This window comes from Homo sapiens, chromosome 11 (assembly GCF_000001405.40).
Source record: "Homo sapiens chromosome 11, GRCh38.p14 Primary Assembly".
NCBI lineage: Eukaryota > Metazoa > Chordata > Mammalia > Primates > Hominidae > Homo > Homo sapiens.
Genome location: NC_000011.10, coordinates 95,036,425 through 95,059,301, shown reverse-complemented (window position 1 = coordinate 95,059,301; position 22,877 = coordinate 95,036,425). Strand labels below are relative to the sequence as shown.

The following is a 22,877-nucleotide window of genomic DNA, read 5'->3' as shown; positions in this document are numbered from 1 at the left end:
TGAGTCACAGGGCCTAAGTGGTCTGATCTCCGCGTCTTCTTCTTCTGTGTGCCCCAGATATAAATAAGCCTCTATCGTATCGCTGGAAAAACAAACTCACCAAGTTCTATATTAGGCCTATTGCACTTACAGTTCCCTGCAGGTGGAAAATCCCAGTATGGACCTTCTTATTTTTCTCAGCTGGGGCCCCAGAAGATCTCCTGTTCTCTGAAGCCTTCCTGGACCAGCGGCTTGGCCAGCCTCTGCCCATTCTGCCCTGTCGTCCAATCCTGCTTTAGTTCCTACACAAAACACATTCCTGACTGAAACTGTCTTATTCACTTATTTGGGGGTTTATTTATTAGGCTGAGTCAATGAATTACCAGTGTGAAATATGCACACAGCTTGGAGCCTGGGAGAGAAGAGAGTCAGATGATGACACTTTTATCCTAGGGCTGCTCATCTTTCTCAGCAACTTGGGTCCTGCTATTTGGCTGAGTGCCAGGCTGGTCCTACCAAGCTATCCTCAAAGCATAACTGCAACCCAGTGCTCCCACACAACCAGACAGCCAGAACCTCATAACCATACGCTGAGCTCACTCACCACCACAAAATGTAACCAGCCCATAAAATATTCATAAGTGTTGCCTGAAATGTTCTCAAATAACTGTGAAGAAAAATGCATGGAGAATAACCTCTTCCTGCAATGTTTTTGAAATTACAATATTAGAAAGAAAGTCAGATTTTACATGTTGGTGACCTTTAATATATTTGTGAACAAATACTGGCGATATCACATTGTAAATATCTCAATGACTTAGAAATATGATGCTTTTTTTTCTGACTCTATTGACCTAATTGGCCATAAAAGGCTAGTTTTGCAAGAAGGGGAGAGTTGAGGGAGGGAGGGAGGGAGAGATAAGGGAAGAAGATTGAAGGGGAACCACACTCCAAATTCTTCAGAAGTTCAGCAGCCTCTATAGTTGGTCCAGAGTTTGGGACACTGGGGTAGATGAGCTCTCGGCAAACCCAGGAAGACCTCGTTCTCAGAGATACTCATGTCCAGTGGATGAAATCTCAGCTGGTGACGCAGAAGTAGAAGTCTCAAGATATTACAGTGTCTGAGAGGATGAAGAAAGTATAGTGAATTTGGTAACCACCTTGGACTCAGCAGTGCCTGGGACCTCACCACAGGAGCTAAGCACTGGGAGGCACTGCAATTTTAGTGGCCGGAAAATTTGCGAAAATTCGCGAAAATTCTGAGTTGTAAATGTGACCAATCTCAAGAAGCCCCCACAGAGCAGAGCAGTGGGATATAAAAGCTGACCATGGGCACAGGGGCGGGGCTCCAGCAGCACCCAGAATCCTTGGCAGGATGCTGGATCCTGGGCTCAGTGGTACAGGCCTATCCATCAAAGCTGCATCTGTGGGCAGAGGCTTAGGTTCAGGGCCTGGAGGTGTGCAGTCTGTGACCACCAAAAGGCACCTCCTGGCCAGATGGAGCCTGGAGGATTGGCTTCTGAACCCCCAGTTACAAAGGATAAGGACCACAACCACATCTACCAGTTGAAAGGTTCAGACCAAGGTTGACAAAGCCAGGGTGGGCAGTGGGTCCAAGCTAAGGTCCTGGGCTAGGAAGCATCACTGCAGGCTAAATTGGCCACAGGAACACTGGGCACAGAAATGTGAGGCAACAGGCACCACAGCTGGAGGTCATAGGCTGAGTGGGTCATGGCCCTGGTGACACAGGTGGTGCCTCAGTCCAGAGAGCCCTCTCAGGCACTTGGATCTTCTACGAGGTGGGCATCTCCAGGCTGGCTTGTGCCCTGGATTCCATGGGGTCTGCAACTAATCCCTCTTGCCTGGGTTTCCACAGCTCATTGCACTTGGGTTACAGGATGCCCATGACAGCATCCAGGGAAGAGATCACAATGGCTTCCTCACCACTGCACTGAGGCCACTTTGCTTATCACATGGTGGCAAAATTCATGGCCTCCTTGAAATTGAAGCCATGGCTGAAGTCAGCATGGTGGCCATAGGGAAGCCATTTAGATATTTAGCCCCCTCCTTGAGTTTTCCCTGCATTCAGCCTTATCAACTACAACTACAACAAAATAAATTTTGTCTCTTCCCTTCCATTAATTATAGCTCTAAAAATTTTTGCAGTGGTTAACAGCACTAATTCCATAAATTATTGACTGAAATGCCTCAAATACCTCACATTAAGGAAAATGCTGGCTTGGGTCTAAAATAGCTAACTAGTAGATAGAGAATTTTTGAATTTTATTTTAAGGAAGGATTCATTGCTTCCTTGTGGGTGTGTGTAAAACAAGACTGTTGAATTATATCAAATGCCTATCAACATCTATAAACATGATCATATGACTTTTCTTCTGGTTGTATTTACAGGATAAATTATATTCCTAGATTTCCTTCTTTAACCCATCACTGCCTTCCTGCAATAAACCCCATGTAGTCATTGTATGTCATTCTTTTAATTTATTTAGATTCTCTTAGCTAATATTTAAGTTAAAATTTTTACGATGTTCATCAATAAGTTTTGTCCATCATTTTCTCTCATTCTGCAATTCATCAGGATTTTCTGTCAATGATGTGCTTATTTTAAAGCTTGAATTTTTTCTCATTTTAAAGGCCTATTTATACTTGAAATAAAATTTTCACACAATTCCTCTGTGAAATTGTCTAATCCTTGGCATTTTTGAAGAGTCAGATCTTCCGCCCTCTTTCTGTATTTCATACACAGAAATTTATGTCTTAAACTTTCTATGTAGTAAGTTAATTTTTCTAAAAACATACATATCATTGGAGCTTTATGTTGATTTATTATTTTAGTTATTCTGACTCATTTTCTATGTATATGCATATCAATTCCTTCTTGCTACTTTCATATAATTGATCTTTTCCTAACTTGTAAATCAGAAGCTTAATCCAGTTAATTTTATTATTTGAATGTGATGAAGAAAATAATTAAGGCTGCAAGTTTTCCCCTCAGCACTGTTCTAAATGAATTTCATATATTCCTTTTTGTATGTTATTAAGTTTTAAATTTAAAAACACTCCAGTAAATGCTTATTGTATTCCAGGCATTGGCATTAACAAATTACTATATTCACTCATAGAACTGTCAACTAAACACATGAGGTAGGTGCTATCTCCATTTTACATTGAGGAAACTGAGTCATTAAGTAATTTTCAAGGTCACACTAGCTGGTAAGAGAAGCTGGAATTCAAAATCAGACTATCTTGCTCTACAGTTCATATTCTTAATAGATATTTATTGTTTTGTGGAAATTTGGCTTTTATGATTTGTGCTTCCCTCAAATCTGAGATCCATTCAATAAAAAAATTTAACCTACCAGGAAAAGGACCTGTACATTTTCTGACTTTCAAAAATATTTCAAATTTTATTGCATGATAATTCAGAATGTTTGAATTTTTTTCATTTTGTTTAAAGAAGATATTGATATTTTCTATTCACACTGATATATTGTCAAATTTTGTGATTGATTCTTTGGCAGGATAGGTTGTCAAGGACCTGACATATACTTGGGATGCAGTGACCGTGGTGACCATAGAGCCAATACAATAAGCCTTAGCAGTCATATTGTAACCGAGCTCACTCAAGCAAAGCTATCTTTAGTAGGGACTTTCCCTTCCAGAGAGCATGCACATTTTGATTTTACCTGTCCTCAAACTGATCTTTTGCTCATTACAATAGTAAAAAACACACCCATGGGTGGAGATTTAAGATGCTAATGAGACATGGGATGTATGAATAAGCATGTACAGCTACTGTACATGTACAGAAGACCATCAGGACCTGCTTACTAGTAACACCTGTTACCACCTCCTTATGAATAACCATGTAAAACTCCCATAATGGGGGTTTCTCCAGCAATAATCAATGCTGTCTCACCCTAACAAGCAGCCCTCCCTGAATTCCTTCACTCTCAGTGTGTACAGTCTATTCTGCACTTAACTTTCAAAATATTATTTTTCTTTCACAATAAATTACTCTATGCTGTTCTTCTTTTGCTGTATGTCTCTTGTTTAATTTATTTTAAACTAAGAAGAACCAGAGGTATCACAACAGCTGTCAACAGCACCTGAAGAGAGGAAGTATTTTCTATCATCTGGTTTGTCAATTCTACCTTATTGTTAATGTTATCTAAGTTTTTCATATCCTTAGGTTTCTCTATTTTTTCTGGCTTGGATGAATAAGGTGTCTATATTAGTTCATTCTCACTTTGCTATAAAGAATATACCCAGGTAATTTATAAAGAAAAGAGGTTTAATTGGCTCACAGGTCTGTGGACTGTACAGGAAGCATAGCAGTGTCTGGTTTGGGGGAGGACTCAGGAAACCTACAATCATGATGGAAGGCAAAGGGGAAGTAGGCACATCTTTCATGGTGGGAGCAGGAGGAAGGCCGGCGGGAGGTGTTACACACTTTTAAACAACAAGATCTTGTGAGAACTCTATCACAAGAACAGCACTAGGGGGATGGTGCTGAACCATTCATGAGAAACCACCGCTACAAGCAAATCACCTCCCACCAGAGCCCACCTCCAAAACTGAGGATTTCAATTCTATGTGAGATTTGAGTGGGGACACAGACCCAAACCATATCAATCCTCCCCTGGCCCCCTCCTAAATCTCATGCCCTTCTCACATTGCAACATATAATCATGCCTTCTCAAATGTTCCCCAAAGTCTTAACTCATTTCAGCATTAACGGAAATGTCCAAAGTCCAAAGTCTCATCTGAGACAAGGCAAATCCCTTCTGACTATAAGCCTGTAAAATCAAAAACAAGTTAATTACTTCCAAGATAGAGTGGGGGTACAGGCATTGGGTAAAGACTCCTGTTCCAAAAGGGAGAAATCGGCCAAAAGAAAGAAGCTAGAGACCCCAAGCAAGTCTGAAACCTAGCAGGGCAGACATTAAATCTTATACTTCCAAAATAGGCTCCTTGGACTCCACGTCTCATATCCAGAGCACAATAGTGCATGGTGTGTACTCCCAAGGACTTGCATAGCTGTGCTCCTGTGTCTTTGCAGGGTTCAGCCCCTGCAGCTGCCCTCATGGGCTTGTGTTAAGTGCCTGCAGCTTTTCCAGAAGTAGGGTGGAAACTGCTGGTTGGTCTACCATTCAGGGATCTGGAGGAAAGTGATCCTTTTCTCACAACTCTGCTAGGCAGTACCCAGTGGGGACTCCGTGTGGGGGTTCCAACCTCACATTTCTGCTCTGTACCGCTATAGTGGAGGTTCTCTGTGAGACCCTTGCCCCTGCAGCAGACTCCTGCCTGCACATGCAGGCTTTTCCATACATCCTCTGAAATCTAAGCAGAAGCTCTCAACCCTCAATTCTAGCATTCTGTGCACCCTTGAACTTAACACCACGTGGAAGCCTCCAAGGCTTATGGCTTTCACACTCTGAAGAAATGGTCTGAGCTCTACCTGGGCCCCTTGAGCCACAGCTAGAGCTGGAGCAACTGGGATGCAGGCAGCAGTGTCCACAGGCTGTACAGGACAGCAGGGCTCTAAGCATGGTCCACAAAACCATTCTGTCCTCCTAGACATCCAGGCTTGTGATGGGAAGCATTGCCACGAAGGTCTCTGATATGCCTTCAAGATGTTTTTCTTAATATTTTGGCTACTAATACTTGTCTTCCTTTTAGTGATGTACATTTCTGCAGCCAGCTTGAATTCTTCCCCTAAAAATGTGCTTTTCTCTTCTGCTACATGGCCAGGCTGCAAATTCCTTGAACTTTTACATTTTGCTGCCCTTTTGTACTCTGCTTCACTGGAACTGGATATAAGTTCCACTTTCAGGTCATTTCTTTGTTCATGAATGTGAGCCTAGGCTGTTAGAAGCAGACAGGCCAGATCTTAAACTCTTTGCTGCTTAAAAATTCCTTCTGCCAGATACCCTAAATCATCACTCTCAAGTTCAAAGTTCCACAGATCCTTAGAAAGGGGCACAGTGCAGCCAACCTCTTGGCTAACACATAACAGAAGTAAACTTTGCTCCAGTTCTCAATAAATTCTTCTTCTCAATCTGAGACCTACTCACACTGGAATTCATTTTCCATATCACTATCATGATTTTGGTCACAACAATGTAACAAGTGTCTAGGAAGTTCCAAACTTTCCCTCAACCTCCTATAGTCTTCTGGGCCCTCCACACTCTTCCAACGTCTGCTGATTACCCAATTCCAAAGCCACTTCTACATTTTCAGAAATCTTTGTAACAATTACCTATTCCTGGTACCAATTTGCTGTATCAGTTCGTTCTCTCATTGCTGTAGGAAAAATACTTGAGACTGGGTAATTTATGTAGAACAGTTTTATTTGGGTCATGGTTCTGAAGGCTATACAGAAAGCATAGAAGCTTCTGCTTCTGGATAGGCCTCAGGAAATTTACAATCATGGCAGAAGATGAAGGAGAAGCAGGCACATCTCATATGTCTGGAGCAGAAAGAAGAAAGATGGGGGGGAGGTGCTACACACTTTTATTTATTTATTTATTTATTTATTTATAGGTGGAGTCTCACTCTGTCACCCAGGCTGGAGTGCAGTGGCATGATCTTGGCTCACTGCAACCTCCACCTTCCAGGTCCAAGTGATTCTCCCACCTCAGCATCCCAAGTAGCTGGGATTACAGGTGCCCACCACCATGCCCAGCTAATTTTTGTATTTTTAGTAGAGATGGGTTTTCACCATGTTGGCCAAGCCAGTATAAAACTCCTGACCTCAGGTGATCCGCCCGCCTCAGCCTCCCAAAGTGCTGGGATTATAGGCATGAGCCACCACACCCAGCCATGCTACAGACTTTTAAACAATGAGATCTTGTGAGAATTCTAATGGGAGAACAACACCAGGGTGATGGTGCAAAACCGTTCACGAGAAACTGCCCCCATGATCCAATCACCTCCCACCAGGCCCTAAATCCAACACTGGGGATTACAGTTCCACATGAGATTTAAACCATGTCAGTGACTTCAATGTGCCTGTGTTTAATGAGTCTCTTTCTGTTTTATATGAGTCACACTTTATCAAATTTACTTCAATATTCATGACTGCTGCAATTTCATTGCGAAATTTAGCCTTTTACATTGAAGAGAAGTCTTCTATGTACCTTTGGTCTTCATTCAGCTTAGACTGACATTAAGATCTGTGACTCTACTTTTATGTTTGTTCTTTCCTAGGTATACTTTTGCCATTCCTTTATCTCAATCACTTTTCTTCATCACTTTTTTTGATACATCTTTTATATAATTCTAATATTAAAAACATGTATTAAGAATTTTTTTTCTTTGCAGATACACACTAGAGATAGCAAATTTAATACATATCAAAAACATTACAAAATATCTCTGGGGCCATGAATGGCTAGCAAACTCAGTTGGTCTACAGGTCTAGTTTTGTGCATGTACAGTGGATCGTGGCCTGGGGTGGAGTGCATGTTGCAGTTGAAGGATTGTGAGAAGCCCCAAAACTCCCTGAGGCTGTAGCAATGTCCAGTGGAATCCAGGGCCAGAGAAACAGAGGACCAAATGGAAGGTAAAAATTAGGGATTCAGTGAGATTCTCAGCATCATCCAATGTGAGTCCAAATTACTGTGGGATCTGGACCCATAGCACTGTAAGGGAGGTATCCTGAGGGCACAAAAGCAACAAGTGCTGTCTGTGGCATCTGGCCATGGTGAAGGCCACAGGCACAATGATTAGGAGGAGACAGAGAGTCCCTGAGAGATATTACAACATCCTACGGCAACCTTTGGGGTGGGGAATTCAATGACCTCTGGGAGCCCTGGTTGTCACAATTGGAGACAGCATCTGGGGGCCTTGGAAATTCGTCAGTTATTGGAGGTAAAGAATCTTCACTGTGGAGAGGCCCAGGCCAGAATTGTGCTTGGCAGGAATCTTCTCTGATTCCTGGGGTTGGGATAAGAAGTAGATATCACTTGACATTTGACACCATATTCAATGGCCATGGGTCCAGAGGATTGATCATGCATTGGAGGAAAATATCTCCAAATTCAGTGGCGTATCTCTGTCTGGCTTTAGCCCCAGCAGATGAGTCAGGGGCCCAGGAGATCCTGGAAAACTTAGTTGGGACCGGAACCCTAGAGGCATAAGAATGGTCCATTGCTACAACCTTGGCCAGATTCACCGGGGATTTCCAGTCTCCACCAGTGTCCCTGGACAATGTAATCAAAGGCACAGTGACACTGGGAGGAGTCATAGGGACAACAAGAGGAAGACTACTAGCAGTGCTGTCGAGGGATAGCAGGCAGGGGCCAGGGTGCATGGGTTCATCAGGATCCAGTGGGGGCCCCAGGGGTTGAAGATCAGGGGCACAACAGCAGCCAGAAGCCTTTGCAAAATGCGGAAGGCCACCGCTCAAAGGTGCGGGTTTGTCTGTCAAAGCTTCATCGGCGAACTGGAGCTGAGGTTTGCGGCCTGGAGCTCTGCTCCCTGTCCCCACTGAGAGGCGCCTCTTAGCTGCAGACTGAACAGTTGTCTCCTCAGTCCCCAGTTCTCGAGGACGACGACCACGGCCTCGACCACGACCTCGACCACGACCACAGCCACGACAAGGACCCCACCTTCCAGTGGAAGGGGGAAGAACCCAGGCTGACGTCTCCAGGGCTTGGATTGCAGATCCAGGCACAGCATCGGTACCACCGCCCTTTGGGTTGTAACAGAGCCTTGGGGCCACAGTCCGTGTGGGACAGCTGGTTATGTGGTTCCGGAGATGCCTCAGGCCCAGAGCAGCTCTCCTAAGTGCTATGTCCTCCCTCCAGTTGCTCGGCTCTTGGCTTTCTGCAACCCTGGGCTCCATGTAATCCACAACAGTCAAGTCTTGCCTGTGTTTCCAGAGCTCATAGCTCTCGGGTTGCAGGATGCGCACGAAGGCATCCATGGAAAAGGTCACTCTCGCCTCGCCACAGCTACACTGTGAAGCCACTTTACCATAATCAATCCATCGTGGAGTGGCAAAGTTGATGGCCTCTGCGCAGTTGAAGCCGTGATTGAAGCCAGCATGGTAGCCATAGGGAAAAGTCACCATGAACTCCCCAGCCTCCTGAGTCATGCGATTGAAGGGGATCCCATTCTTTTTGAGAACTGTAGGCGAGATGAGGGCCACCTTGTGCCGCAGGAAGCCCTCACAGCCCCGGGAATTGCCTGGGAAGAGCTCCCTGGCCAGGCATTCCAGGCGCTGACCATGTTCTGGGGGCACCACGTACCAAGTTTTGGGCTCCCCAAAGTGCAGGTAGTTGATGCTGTAAAGGTCCATGTCCTCCGTGTGCCAAGCAAACGTGGTCTTCCACATGCCAAAGTACAGGTAGGGTGTGTTGACACCCTCGATGACAACCCCACATTCCTGCTCCAACAGGTCCAGAATTGTTCCCAGGTGTCCTAGGTTCCATTGTTTAGTGCTTTCTTCAAATAAGGAGCCGCTGATATCAGCACCATAAATTGGTGGATTACCGGGGTGGCTCTTCCAGTATCGTTGCTCCAAATCTGCAAAATTCTGGTGTGGCGGAGTCTGATATTTTTTACTGTTTGCCAAGTGGCGATACTGCCCCACCCTCATGGCTTTCTTCTTTTTATGGTATTGAGTAAACACACCTCCCTGCCCAGAGGTCACCTGCTGGAGGGGAGTGGCTATTAAGATGTCTTCAATATCATCATACATCTGTCTGGCTTTCCATTCCTTGGGTGGAATTACCTTGGCGAGGCCAGCTCGGTGTGCGCCTTGGGACTCCATGTAAGCAACATATGTGTTGAAATCTGCAAATTCTTCCATGGTTGGGTAAAACGTCATGATGGTATGACTCGTGTTCTGGGGACTGGAGTGCACAGACTTCATGGCTGCACACAAGAAGCAGCTGACTCCCAAGTTCTTCGGTGTCCTCCAAATGCCTGAGAGTGCTGGGGAGGAATTTCTTTTCTCTGCTTTGTTTTTTCAAAATACTTTGGTTTATCTGTGAGGGAGTAATTCACACTTGAACTTTTGAACAAGTGAGATCTTTCAGAGGCTTCTGACTTCCCAGGGGGACTCTGCTGTAGTCAGTATTTTTTTGTCCAAAGAAAATAGAATATGTCCCAGTGGGGCAGGCACCCCAGCTGGAGTCCCAGCTCCACCTGCAGCTCTGTGAGTTTCCTCAGTTGGGGGTGTCACTGTGAGGCTTCTCTTGATTCTCAGGCTTGGGTGCCCCAGTTGCTGGTAACTGCACTGTACCCGGGCGTCTCTTCTAGGAAATCAAATCAGTAAACCTAAATAACAACACAAAATACAGAATATTTGAAAATACATGTATAACCAGACAAAAGAAATACTCAGCTAGTATTAAGCTAAACTAAAGGGTATGCTGTGTTAACATCAGGATATAAGGTCAAATAATAAAACAGAAAAAGAGCAGCATCTAATCAAACTAAGAGTGAAAATGATCAAGTTTGCAAAGGAATGAATTAAGCAATCCACTCAAGAAACTGGATGCATTAACATCAAAGGAAACAATGAAAATAAAGACACAAGCAGAAACCATTGCAAAAGGAAACAGAACCTCCAATAGGAATGATGACAAAAAGCTAAAACTTGACTTTTTAAAAAGATGGTGAGAAGTAAAAAGCCATAGGCATGAAGAGAAAAGAAAATACAAATGAAACAATTGAGATAACTTAGGGGGCATAGCTAAAAATCTTGCTGAGATGTTTTAAAAATTTTAACTGAAACTTATGAGCAACTTGAGTGAGAATAATTTTCTCAGTAGGACAAATATCAAAAAGTGCTCCAACAGAGAAATAAAATGACCTAACTTCCACCAAAAACTCACAATTCCTGATGAAAATACTCCAGGACCCAGAGAGAAGGTTTCCTCTTGGTAGCTGAACTCCAAATGCAGCCCCACGTTGCAAAGACCCTGGCTTTATACCTGGGCGGCATCCTAACCCAATCAGTGCCCAGCTAATGTAATCACTGGGCTGGGTCCAGATTAGGCATCCCACCCGTTTGTGCCTCTCCCTTTTGTTTTACATTTAAATCCTATAACAATGCTAAGTGATTAAAAGTCAAGTTATGGGAACAGGGAATCTAAATAAATACTAAAAGAAACCGAGGGTAACAATATTAATATCCAGTGTATATATAAGATCCAAGAGGGACATTTTATAGTTAACGAAAAAAAATTCATAGAAAAATATTATAGGGATGAACTTTATGCACCTAACCACACAACAGTGACACACTGAAGCCAAGACTGAGAGTTGTTGTAAGGTCAAACAGTAAAATCTGCAATCGTGCTGGGAGTTGTGTGTGTGTGTGTGTGTTTAACATTATCCTTTCAGAAACCAATAAGGTAGAGCAGAAAATTAATGTTTAGTAATATGTACAAGCTTAAGAACTTTGAGGATAGAGATTGTAACAATTAAAAAGCAAATGTGAAATGCTTTTCGGTACATAGGTAACGTTTATAATAGATAAATTTACCAATATAGGACTACAAAGTAAATATCAAATAAAAATTATATTAAATGAATATACTGGCCAAAATGAAATGAAATTGAAAGTCAACAATACAAAACCTGAATCCAAATTTATTTGAATCCATATTTATTTGAAAATTAATATGCACATTTCTAAAATCCTATTGATCTTCACTTTGAACTCAAGCAGTGAGTAAAAACAAAATGGAACAAAATTCTGCAGAAGAAAATGAAAGATAGAAGTAATGATAGAAAGATAAAAGGGAAAATGTATACTAAAAGGTGATTAATAAAACTAAAATCTGATAGTTTTTTAAAGAAAAAATACATAAGTGGAAGTATTGATAAAGAACACTTTCTAGACCTGGGCAAGTAATATACAGAAAGAGCCCAAAGCATTTGTAGCCATGGAAAATAAAAACTCCGTAAATACACACAATAAAAAATGCGGTTACTTCCAGTGGGACAGAAGGAAAACAATTCCCAATGGCCAAATCTCCAACAAATTGAGCAAGAAAATATGTAAATTGAATTATAATCCTAAATATGAAATAAATATCTATGAGTTCATACTGATATAAATTAAAGATTAAGTAAACAAACAGCTGAGAAGTGACAAAGCTCTCTTTCCTAAGAATTCTAAACAAATTAAATTAATTAAAATATTGTCTATTTTGAAAATGTTATGACCCTATATAAATATAAATAGAATTGTGTTTTATGTATTTTCATGTATTTTTTGTGTGGCATTTCCCTCATCTATGTTCTTCTGTACAGCTGTACTTTGTCTTGTTTCCTTGCTGTAATTTATTCAATGGTATAAATGTTTGCGTTTTTAATGGGTATTTAGTTCCTTTCTACTTTTGACCTCTTACAAAAAATGTTGCTCTGAAAATGCTTGGACATGGATAGCGCTTGGGGCTCACATGTACTCCTGTCTATGAATAGATATCTTGGTCACAGAAGGCAGTCAGGCCTCCATATCCTCTGGGTTCAGCAGCAGTGGATTCAACCAACCGAGGATCAAATGCATTCATAAAAAGAAAGAAACGGTGAAAAATAATGGTACAATAAAAACAACAAAAAATAGAGTAAACAACTACTTGCCTGGCATGCTAACCCAAGATTGAGCTTTCTAGAATTTAGTAAGATGGTTCTTACTTTTCTAGCTGCCCTTGTCTTGTCTCCTATTTGCTTTTCTCCAGTTTAAGATACAGGCAGTAAAACACATAGATCTTAGGTCTCCACTTTAGTGAGTTTTAAAAATTATATACACCCATGTAATCAACACATAAAAGATGTAGAACATTAGCACAGCCCCATAGGATTCTCGCAGGACAGAAGCTTTCCAGCCAATCCCAACTTGCCACCAGAGGCAACCACTTTCTAAGTTCTATGATTGCAGGGGACTATGGCCTGATTTGGGAATGAATAGGAATGGAATCATACAGTATGTATTCACTTGGATTTTGCTACTTTTCCCATATGGGATGTTTGTGAGATCATCTATCCTGTTGCATGCACCAGCAGTTCACTCCTTTCAATTGATGAATAATATTTTAATACACTATAGTTTTTCTACTCATCTTTTCAGAGATATATGGATTGTTCACAGTTCTTCATTCTTACCAATTGAGCAGATACCTAGAAGGAGATTTGCCAGAGACAGATGAGTGTGCAAGTTTATAGAAGACTGACACAGTTTTTCAAAGGGGCTGTATGATGTCATATTCCCACTAGCAATGCATGTGAGAAACCATTGCTCTGGACATGAGACTGTTCCTCTCAGAGCCAGAGTGCATGGTTCCAGTAAATCCAGGCATAAAACAGGGACTCATTCATCATGCCAATGTAAGATGTTTGCTTTTTGTCCTCATGACTTCTGGTGTTCAAAGGAACATGTTTTCAATGGAGTCACAACAATAATGCCATACATAGGAAGCTGAGATTCCCAAATGGCCATTTCAATCTCCTCACATCACTGAATAACCATGCAAAGAAGGAATATAATTTCAGCAGGGTGGTGATTGATCTTTATTCTCTCAAGGAAATATGCCATTTAAACACAAACCTAAAGTACACTTGCAGGTCAGGTTTACTATAGAGCATACTCTAAGACGTCAGCACCAAGATCTTTCTTAAAGAGTGTCCTTTGGATCCGTATCTGAGAAAGGGAGGAGGGGGAAGCAGGTGTGAGCACAGGGAAATGTCGATCTGTGGGTTAGAGCCAAAGATAGGCAGCCGATCCTGCAGGGAGCTCTGGAGCTCAAATGGCTTTGCAGGTTGTCCTGGGTTGAGCAGAGATGGTGAAGCTTTATCTTCCACTACCGGGAAGTCATGGGATGTTAGCCGAATTGGGAAGAGGCATGGCCTTGGGTGAGGCAGCTCTCTGCAGCTGAAGGCTGTCTGCCGACTGCAGTCCAGAGGCAATGAGGCTTTTACCTATCACATAAAAGTTTATTCCTTGGTCATGCAAGATGTGCTGTGGGTCCAGCAGCTCTCTAGGGCTACTCCCTTCCTGTGAATGCAGCATGCTTTCATCTTGTGATTCCACCATGTCAGTGTTAGCTTTAACCTCATTTCCGCCAGGCATCTCACTCCATCCTCCTCTGTGCCTGGAGTCTCTGAGTTCATCTCTCAGGTTGAATTTTCCAAAGAATAAACTTCCTTCTCTTGTTACATTAGGAAAGACAAAGTTGCCTGAATGAATGGAAGAGGCAGGAAGGTATGGGTTTTTCTGCTGTTTATTGAAAACTTTAGAGAAGCACCAATTTCTGATTACTCTAACTTTAAAATTTCCTACTGAAATGCTGATAGGGGAAGAAAAGAAGGGTCCTATTACGGATAGTACTTAACGAGCAAGGTGGCTTTCTTCTCAGAATGTTTCTTTCTGTATGAAAACTATCATTTTCAATTTCCAAAATATGTTCCGTCCACTTTTGTGCACTTCCTTTTTGTTGCTGGTTTTAAAGACAGAGTCTGGCTCTGTCACCCAGGCTAGATTGCAGTGCTGCAATCATGGCTGACTGCAACTTTGACCTCCCAGGCTCAAGTGATCCTCCTCTCTCAGCCTCCTGAGTAGCTGGGAATACAGGCGTGTGCCACCACACCCAGGTAATTTTTTTTTTAACTTTCTTCTGCAGAAACTGAGTTTCACTATGTTGATGAGGCTGGCTATGCAATTTCAAAACTAACAATTAAGCCTAAGCAACTGTCACTCTCACTTGTATTATAAATGGTCAAACTGCTTCTCCTACTTGCAAACTCTCCATAGAGCCACTAAGCTGATTATTTAAATGTGTCAATCACATCTTGTCAACTGCTGTTTTAAGCTTCTGATGCCTTCTCACTTCAAGTTGAAGGAACACCAAATAATGCATTTAACTTGAAACATGAAGCTCTACATGTTCTGTCCCCAGACTCTCTCCCTTCCCCTCTCTGCCCGAGACACAAGTAAGCTTCTTTTGTATTCCTGGAAAAAGAAAATCACTAATTTCCATGGTAGGTCTATTGTACTTGCTGTTCCCTGTAAGTGGAAAATTCTGCTCTGGACTTTCCGTTTGGTCAACTAGGTCTCAAAAAAGGTCTCCTGCTCTGTGAATCCATCCGGAACCCACAGCTCAGGCAGCCCCTGCCCATTCTTCTCTGTCATCTAATCCTGTTTTAGTTTCTGCACAGCACACATTGCTGATAAAAACTGTCTTGCTTACTTAGTGAGGACTTGTTTATTGGACTGAGCCAATGAATTAACAATGTCAAATAACCCACAGCTTTGAAAAGCCAGTGGAATTTCGCTGTTTTGGCTTGTGTTTTCCTCTTATCTAAAGCTTGCCCAATAAAGAATATTCACCTTTCAGAAAAAAGCATCTCTACATTTTCTATTTTTAAAACTAATTTCTAGTTTTATTGCATGGTATTGATTTTTTCTTTTTCTTTTGATAAATTATTGATGTTTTGTTTTCATCCTAATATATTGTCTAATTTTGTGAATCATTCATTAGCACTTGAAAAAGGTGAGTATTCTCTATTACCAGGTGCATACATTGTACCTTGTTAAACTTGTTTGTTTTCTATATCTGTATATGTGTCCATTTCTTTTCTGTCCTCAACACAATAAGTGACTTAAATTCTCTGGTTTTTCAAACACTACTCCAACTTGTTTCTTACCAACTATAATTTTTCCTTAATCAAACTCACATGGGTTCTAGGCTAGATCTCAACCTTCTGGCCCTAAGCCTGCACCATGTCCTCGTGGAGCTTGTTCTGAGGAGGAAAAGAGGAGGGAAATGAGACTTTACCAGGACTTTCTTCTCCACCTCTGTGGTACAATCCTCTCTGGACCCTGCAGCCCATGCCCGCCCCTCCCGATTTCCTCCTAGAAACACAAGCCCAGCACGGAAAACTCCGTGGGTAACCTTCTCCCAAGTACTGCCTGAGCCCAGCACAGGGGCCTGGGACACCCACCCCTGGATTCTCTGGGCAAGTGCTCACCCTACGTGGATACAGTCAGGACTTTGGCAGCCTCTGAGACCAGAAAGCCAGGGAGAAGGAAGCCCACTAGAAGCAGTGCCCACTACCCACCCACGCTCACTCTGACAGAAGCACACAAACTTTGCACTGCCCGTCCTGTGCCAGGTAAAGGGATCTCGTGAGCTTCAGTGCATGTACAGTGCTGGCTGTGAGCTTGGCAAGAGCTTCCTGGCTCCACACAGCCACCTGGTCACCATGCCCAGCTTCCCACAGAGCCACATGGTACCCATAGTGAGTTACCACTAGCAGGAATAAAAAGATGTGGAGCACACCTTTCCCCAGGCTCTAACTGACTATTTGAAGAATGAAAATTCTGTTTCAAAGCCACAGAGACATCCATGATAAGGGGATATTGAAAGAAACTCTAGACTCCTAAACCTGGGACATAGGATAGAACTGAGAGATCCATGAATTCTCCCCCATAGTAATAAATGTTGGTGTGCATATAGTTGGTAGAGAAGTACAAGGTATGTTGCTGTCAGAAGTTTCCCCAAATTCATGAGAAGTGACACAATTAACTTTTAATCTAACATTTTAATTTCGTTTAAATTTAATTTAATTACAATTTTTGAAATTAAGATGATATTAAAAACTAATTTACTACAGATATATATCAGATCTCCAGTCAAGGCAGATGCAAAGGCATATTAATGATGTCCAAGGAAGAATATGGAACTTCTAAAAGATGATTAAAATGGTTTTACCAGGGACTCACACAGACACTTTTATACCAGTGTTCATAACAGCACCATGCACATAGCCAAAAGGAGGAAACAACCCAAGTGTCCATCCATGGATGATTGGAATAAGCAAAATGTGGTGTATACATATGATGCAATATTATTCAACCTTGAAAATGAAGGAAATTCTGACACATGCTGCAACATGGATGCACCTTGAGGACACCATGCTAAGTGAAACAACTAGAAATAAAAAGACAGATATTATATCATTGCGCTTATATGAAATACCTGAAATTTATTCATTTTATGTTAAGATCTACCACCCCTCTTTTCTTTTGCTTGCATTTTCCTTGATCTAGTTTTGCCCATTCTTTTGTTTTTCAATCATTCTGAATCACTTAGCTTTAGGTTTATCTCTTTTATAATAGTGATTTTAAAATATGTTTTCAGGATATTCCTTTCTTTACTTGGTAGATACACACTAGGAAAAATTAATTTAATAAACAGGAGACAGCCTCTGGTAGCCTTGGGTATATATTAGTTCTTCAAGGTAAAAGAGACTGAGACAATCCCAGGCTCAAATTGTGCTTGGGTGGAGCCTTCTTTGGCTAGTAGGGTTAGGTTATGGTCAGAGGGACAGCCACATTTGGCAATATATTCAGTAGCCATGGGTTCAAAGGATTAAGATAATGTATCAGAGGCACATAGCTCCAAATTCAGAGGTGCGGCACTGTCTTGCTTCAGCCCCAGGAGATGAGTCAGGGCCCAGCATATTCTGACAACATCAGTTGGGGCCAAGACCCCAGAGGTATAAGAATGGTCCATTGCTACAACCTCAGCCAGGTTCAAGGGGCTTTGCACTCTCCAGCAGCATCTCTGGAGAATCTTCTCAGCATCATAATGATGTTGGGAGGAATCAGTGGAACATAGTCAGGGTGGTTCAGTGTCATGCTGTCTGGGGATGTCGGATACGCACACATCAAAGCATCAGATCCAAAGTCTCTCCAAAGGTTGAAGATGGGGGCACTGCAGCTCCTGGAAGCCTTGATGGGATACTGAGATGCAGGCATGAGAGATACAGGCTTGTCTATCAAAGTTCCATCCCAAGTAGGGGCAAAGCCCCAGGATCAAGAGCTCTGTGTGCTGTGCCACTTGGTGGGAGACTAGAGGATCCCCTCCTGAGCTCCTAGTTCCTGAAGAAGACCACCATGACCACCTCTTCCAGTTGACAGGCAGAGAACCAGGGCAAACAGACCCAAGATAGATGGTGGGCCACGGTGTGTTCTTGGGAGCCTCTGGGGTCAATGACCTTTGGATGGGCATCAGTTTCCTGGGCTGCCACGGGGAACCAGGGAAACTGCAACTGTACATATGGGCTCAGTGGTAGGTCCCACCATCCAGGACCACAGGCCTAGAAGAAGTCAGGTCCAGGGGAGCTTCAGTCCGGGTACAATGTCCTCCTGCCAGGTAATGAGCTCCTGGCTGGCCAGCACCCTGGGCTCCCTTTGATCCACAATGGCCCCATCTTGCTAGCTTTTCCATAGGTCATAATGATCAGGTTTCATGATGTGCATGAAGGCGTCCATGGAAAAGGCCACCCTGTCCTCCCCACAGCTACACTGAGGGGCCATATTGCCATAATCTACCCATCCTGGGTGGTTAAATTGATGGCCTCTTTGCAGTTGAAGCCTGTGTTGTAGTCATAGGGAAATGTCACTGTGAACTCTCCAGCCTCCTGACTCATGCTATTGAAGGGAATCCCATTCTGCATGAGCACGGTGGGCACGATGAGGGCCATCTAGTGCCACAGGAAGGCCTCATAACCCTGAGAACTACCTGGAAAAGCTCCCTGACTGAGCATTCCAGGTGCCAACTATGGTTTTGGGGCACTGCGTACCAATATAGGGGCTCTCTGAAGTGATGGTAGTTGATGTAAAGGTCCATGTCCTCCATGAGCTATGGAAAGGTGGTCATCCACATTGCCAAAGTACAGGTAGGGTGTGTTGACACTCTCTTCGATGAAAACCTCATATTCCTGCTCCAGAAAGTCCTGAATTGTTCCTACGTGTCCAGGATTACATTATTTACTGTTTTCATCAAATAGGAGGCTGAGGTTCTTCCGGTATTTTCTTTCCAAATCTTCAAACGTCTGGTGTGGTCGAGTCCAGTATATTTCAGAATATTTGAAGACAAATGTGTGACAAACAAAATGCTGAGATTTAAGCTACCTTAGTAACTTAGTGACGCCACGCAGGCTTCAACCACAGCTTTAACTGTACAGAGGCCATCAGTTCCACCACCCAGGATGGATCGATTATGGCAGATTGGTATGGTGTGTTAATATCAGGATTCAAGGTCAAATCATAACATATATAAAGAGGAGTATCTAATTGAACTGAAAGAAAAAAATCAGCAAGTTCAAAAATGATTGAATTTAGCACTCAACTCAGTAAGCGGGATGAATTAAAATAAAGGAAAGAAAATAAAGGTATAAGCAGAAACAATTACAAAAGAAAATATTACACCCAGTATAGGTAATAACGAAAATCAAAATCTGATTCTTTGAAAAGACCTTTAGAAGTTAAAAATCACAGGGAGGAAGAGGAAAGAAAGAGTGTACAAAGAAACTACATTGTGATAAAATAATAAAGCACATAGCTAAACCTTGTAGAGTTTTTTTTAATTATAATTGAATCCTATGAGAAACTTGGTAACATAATTTTCCCAAAAGTACAAATAGCAGAAAGTATCCAACAGCAAAATAAAACCACCAACTTTCTACAAAATATTTCTAGTTTTATTTTGAGAAAAGGTAACACCAAGAAAACATTTTAATTCAATGATAGAAACACGGTTATAGTAAGAAATATTCATAATCAAAAACATACACCATGTTGTAAGTACCTACAGTTACAAACCATTTCTTCCATAACATTCCCCATATTTTAAGTTCATGTATGTTGACATGATCAGATTTGCCATTTAACAGAATAGGGAGGGGGAAGAGGTGTGATTATCATATCAGCTAGATGTGCTCACTGCATGCTCTATTATTTCTCTTCCAGGCCTGGGTGACTGGAAGGGCAGTTGACAGGCATTTTAATAAACTGAACAGCCATTTGTTCTTCAGGACAGGGCTTCTTTTTTCAGGAGCAATCAGAAGAAAACAGGAAACAGCTCAGCACTCTGCACTGCAACAGGCCACCTTAACAGCTAACCAGCATCACTCAACTGCTATGCAGCCGGGCCTGGTACACAAAAACACAGAAGAGATTAGAATTGTGTTTGCTCAAAACCCGGTCTTTTCACCTGAAAAATCTTTATACAAATTTGGGTCATATTACCAGTTAGATATAAAGGTAATAACATTACACATATACATTTATACCGCCTTTTGTAAGTTTTTAACTTTAAGGAATGAAGGCAGTTTTGAGGCAATGCCGTGACAGCGTTCGGCTGTGTGTAATGGCTGCACACATTTCTTAAGAGACAGGAGGCCACAAATTAGGTTACCAACCTGTTCATTTCAAACCAAAAATATCAGCACTATAGAATCAAATACACGCTGGGCGAAGAGGCTCACACCTGTAATCGCAGAACTTTAGGAGGCCAAGGTGAGCAGATCACTTGAGCCCAGGAGTTTGAGGGCAGGCTGGCCAACATGGCGAAACCCCGTCTCTACTAAAAATCCAAAAATCCAACAATTAGCCCTCCGTGGTGGCTGGCGTCTGTAATTCCAGCTACTCCAGAGGCTGAGGCCTGAGAATTGCTTGAACCCAGGAGGTGGAAGATGCAGATGGCGCCACTGCACTCCAGCGTGGGCAGCAGAGCTCGACTACATCTCAAAAATAAAAAACAAGCAAAAAAGACAAATATAAATTTTCCCCTCTAATACCCAAATCCAATCTAAAGTCATTCACCTCACTAAATTACAAGAAAATTTGAAAACAAAAAAATGGCACATAAAATGAATCTTGCCATCTGATGCAACGCTTCAAACTGGTAAAACAGGTAGACAAATATCACCCAACCGTTTCATTACGCAGTCGCTTCTTCCAGTGACTCTGCTTCCATGGACTGAGTATGGAGTCCTTTTCCCCAAGTCCTCCATCACGCGTTAGCTGATGATCATTTTCCTAGGAGGGCACTTGTCCTTTTTCCCCTTCAGGAGACTTGGGAGGACTCTTGGATCGCGACCTGGACTTGGATTCCCTCTTGGATGTCGGGGGAGGACTCCCGGACGTAGATCTAGACCTGGACCATGAGCAAGATCTGGAGATGGAGGAGGACTTGGATCTTCACGGAGAGCTGGATTTGGAGGTTGATGGAGATGCAGAGTGAGACCCAGACTTCGAGTGAGAGCGGCGGTAGGGAGACCTGCTGCGGGAAGACCGGATGTAGGGAGACCTCCTGTAGCGAGATTCCCTGTAGGGAGATCGGCTGTAGTGATGCCGGCTGTAAGATCGACTGTAGGGAGATCGGCCGTAGCGAGATCCCCTGTAATGAGATCGTCTGTAGGGAGATCGGCTGTAGCGAGATCTCCTGTAGATAGACAGGCTATAGCGAGACCCCCCATAGTGAGATCTGCTGCGGGACCTAGAGTAGCTGGGACCCCGGGATTGGCTGCGGTGTCGCCCCCTGGGGCTGCCGCTCCGCCGTCCGTAGCGGCCGCCCCAGGACCTGCCGCGTGGCTCTTCCTGGCTGCTGCGAGGCAGGTCCCGGCGGCCATAGCGCGCCATCCGCACACGCAGCTCGCGTTCGTCCAGCACCGCCCCGTCCATGGCGGCCTCGGCGTCTTGCGCGTCGCTCCGGTCGTGAAAGCGGACGAAGGCGAAGCCCCGGGGCGCCTTGGTGTGGGGCTCCAGCGGGATGTACACGTCGCCCACGCGCCCGTACTTCTCGAACACGCGCCTCAAGCTGTCGGGAGAGGTGCGGTAGGTCAGGTTGTCCACCTTGAGGGTGATCATGCCATCCACGTCGGGAGGGGGGCGGCCGCAGCTCATGGCTCCGAGAGCAGCCCGGGCCTGGAAACTGGCGCGGCACTGGGCGCTGGTGGGGCGACCTGCGTTCCTCTCTTGCGGTTGCGCCCCGCGTGGGGACGCCAGGAGAGACCTGGGGGAGAGGCGGGCGGCCGAGCTCCGCAGGGAGCGCTCTAGAGCAGCAATTCCCAAATTCCCAATTTCAGGCCGAATACTCCAGGACCCAGAGGAAGGTTTCCTCTTGGTAGCTGAACTCCAAATGAAGCCAGGTCCCGAAGATCCTGGCTTTATACCTGGGCAACATCCTAACCTAATCAGCGCCCAGCCAATGTAATCACTGGGCTGGGTTTACATTAGACGTCCCACCCTCCCATAACCTTCCCTTTTATTCTACATTTTAAATCAATCTTAAAACAACGCTAAGTGATTAAAAGTCAATTTATGGGAACAGGCAATCCAAACAAATATTAAACAAAAGAAACCTAGGGTAGCAATATTAATATCCAGTGTATTGATAGGATCAAAGAAGCACATTTTATAGTTAATGAAAAGAAATTTCATAGGAAAATATTACAATATTACAGTAATGAACTTTATGCACCTAACCACATGGCACTGACCATAGAGAGCCAAGACTCAGACTTAGATGGTAAAACTGAAAAGTCTGCCATCATCATAGGAGATGTTGGTTTTTTTTTAATGTAACAGCATTTTAATCGAAACCAATAGTGCAGAGAACAAAGTTAGGAATCCTATATAATTTGGCTGGGCGCGGTAGCTCACCCAGCACTTTGGGAGGCCAAGCACTTTGTAATCCCAGCACTTTGGGAGGCCAAGGTGGGTGGATCACCTGGGGTCGGGAGTTCGAGACCAGCCTGGCCAATATGGTGAAACCCCGTCTCTACTAAAAATACAGAAAATTAGCCGAGCGTGCTTGAGGGCACCTGTAATCCCAGCTACTGGGGAGGCTGAGACAGGAGAATCGCTTGAACCCTGGGGGTGGGGGTTGCAGTGAGCCAACATGGCGCCACTGCACTCCAGCCTGGTGGACAGCCAGACTTTGTCAAAAAAAAAAAGCTATAGAATTTGCCAAACAAACTTAACAACTGTGATCATTGTAACCTGCAACTACCAAAAACCAAATGGAAAATGCTTTTCAATATGTAGAACACATTTACAAAAATTTCCC

General features: G+C 43.3%; 1 protein-coding gene, 1 long non-coding RNA gene and 2 pseudogenes across 2 annotated transcripts, besides 1 other annotated feature; all 4 read right to left on the bottom strand.

Annotated features, from left to right (window-relative positions):
* On the bottom strand, nt 1,316-2,029 carry LOC100420803 (lysine demethylase 4D pseudogene; annotated as a pseudogene).
* KDM4F (lysine demethylase 4F) lies at nt 7,964-9,880 on the bottom strand. The gene has a single exon (NM_001413755.1). The coding sequence runs from the start codon at nt 9,878-9,880 to the stop codon at nt 7,964-7,966; it is 1,917 nt and encodes a 638-aa protein (NP_001400684.1).
* Nucleotides 8,428-8,592: a silencer, noted in NCBI's record as "fragment chr11:94783874-94784038 (GRCh37/hg19 assembly coordinates)". NCBI's record gives its function as "represses an EF-1alpha promoter that drives an FKBP-Casp9 reporter gene in an ReSE screen in HepG2 liver carcinoma cells {active_cell/tissue: HepG2}" and the evidence as "EXISTENCE:reporter gene assay evidence [ECO:0000049][PMID:32094911]".
* Nucleotides 9,881-19,338: 9,458 nt separating the features above from the next.
* On the bottom strand, nt 19,339-20,336 carry LOC107984375 (uncharacterized). Its single transcript, XR_001748334.1, has 2 exons — nt 20,295-20,336; nt 19,339-19,957 (listed from the first exon to the last, which is right to left on the bottom strand). It is a non-coding gene; the product is annotated as an uncharacterized LOC107984375 (long non-coding RNA).
* On the bottom strand, nt 21,296-21,873 carry SRSF8BP (serine and arginine rich splicing factor 8B, pseudogene; annotated as a pseudogene).

What these genes read in the sequence shown, in the direction of transcription:
- KDM4F (NM_001413755.1), bottom strand. Translation starts at nt 9,880, where the DNA reads ATGAAGTCTGTGCACTCCAGTCCCCAGAACACGAGTCATACCATCATG.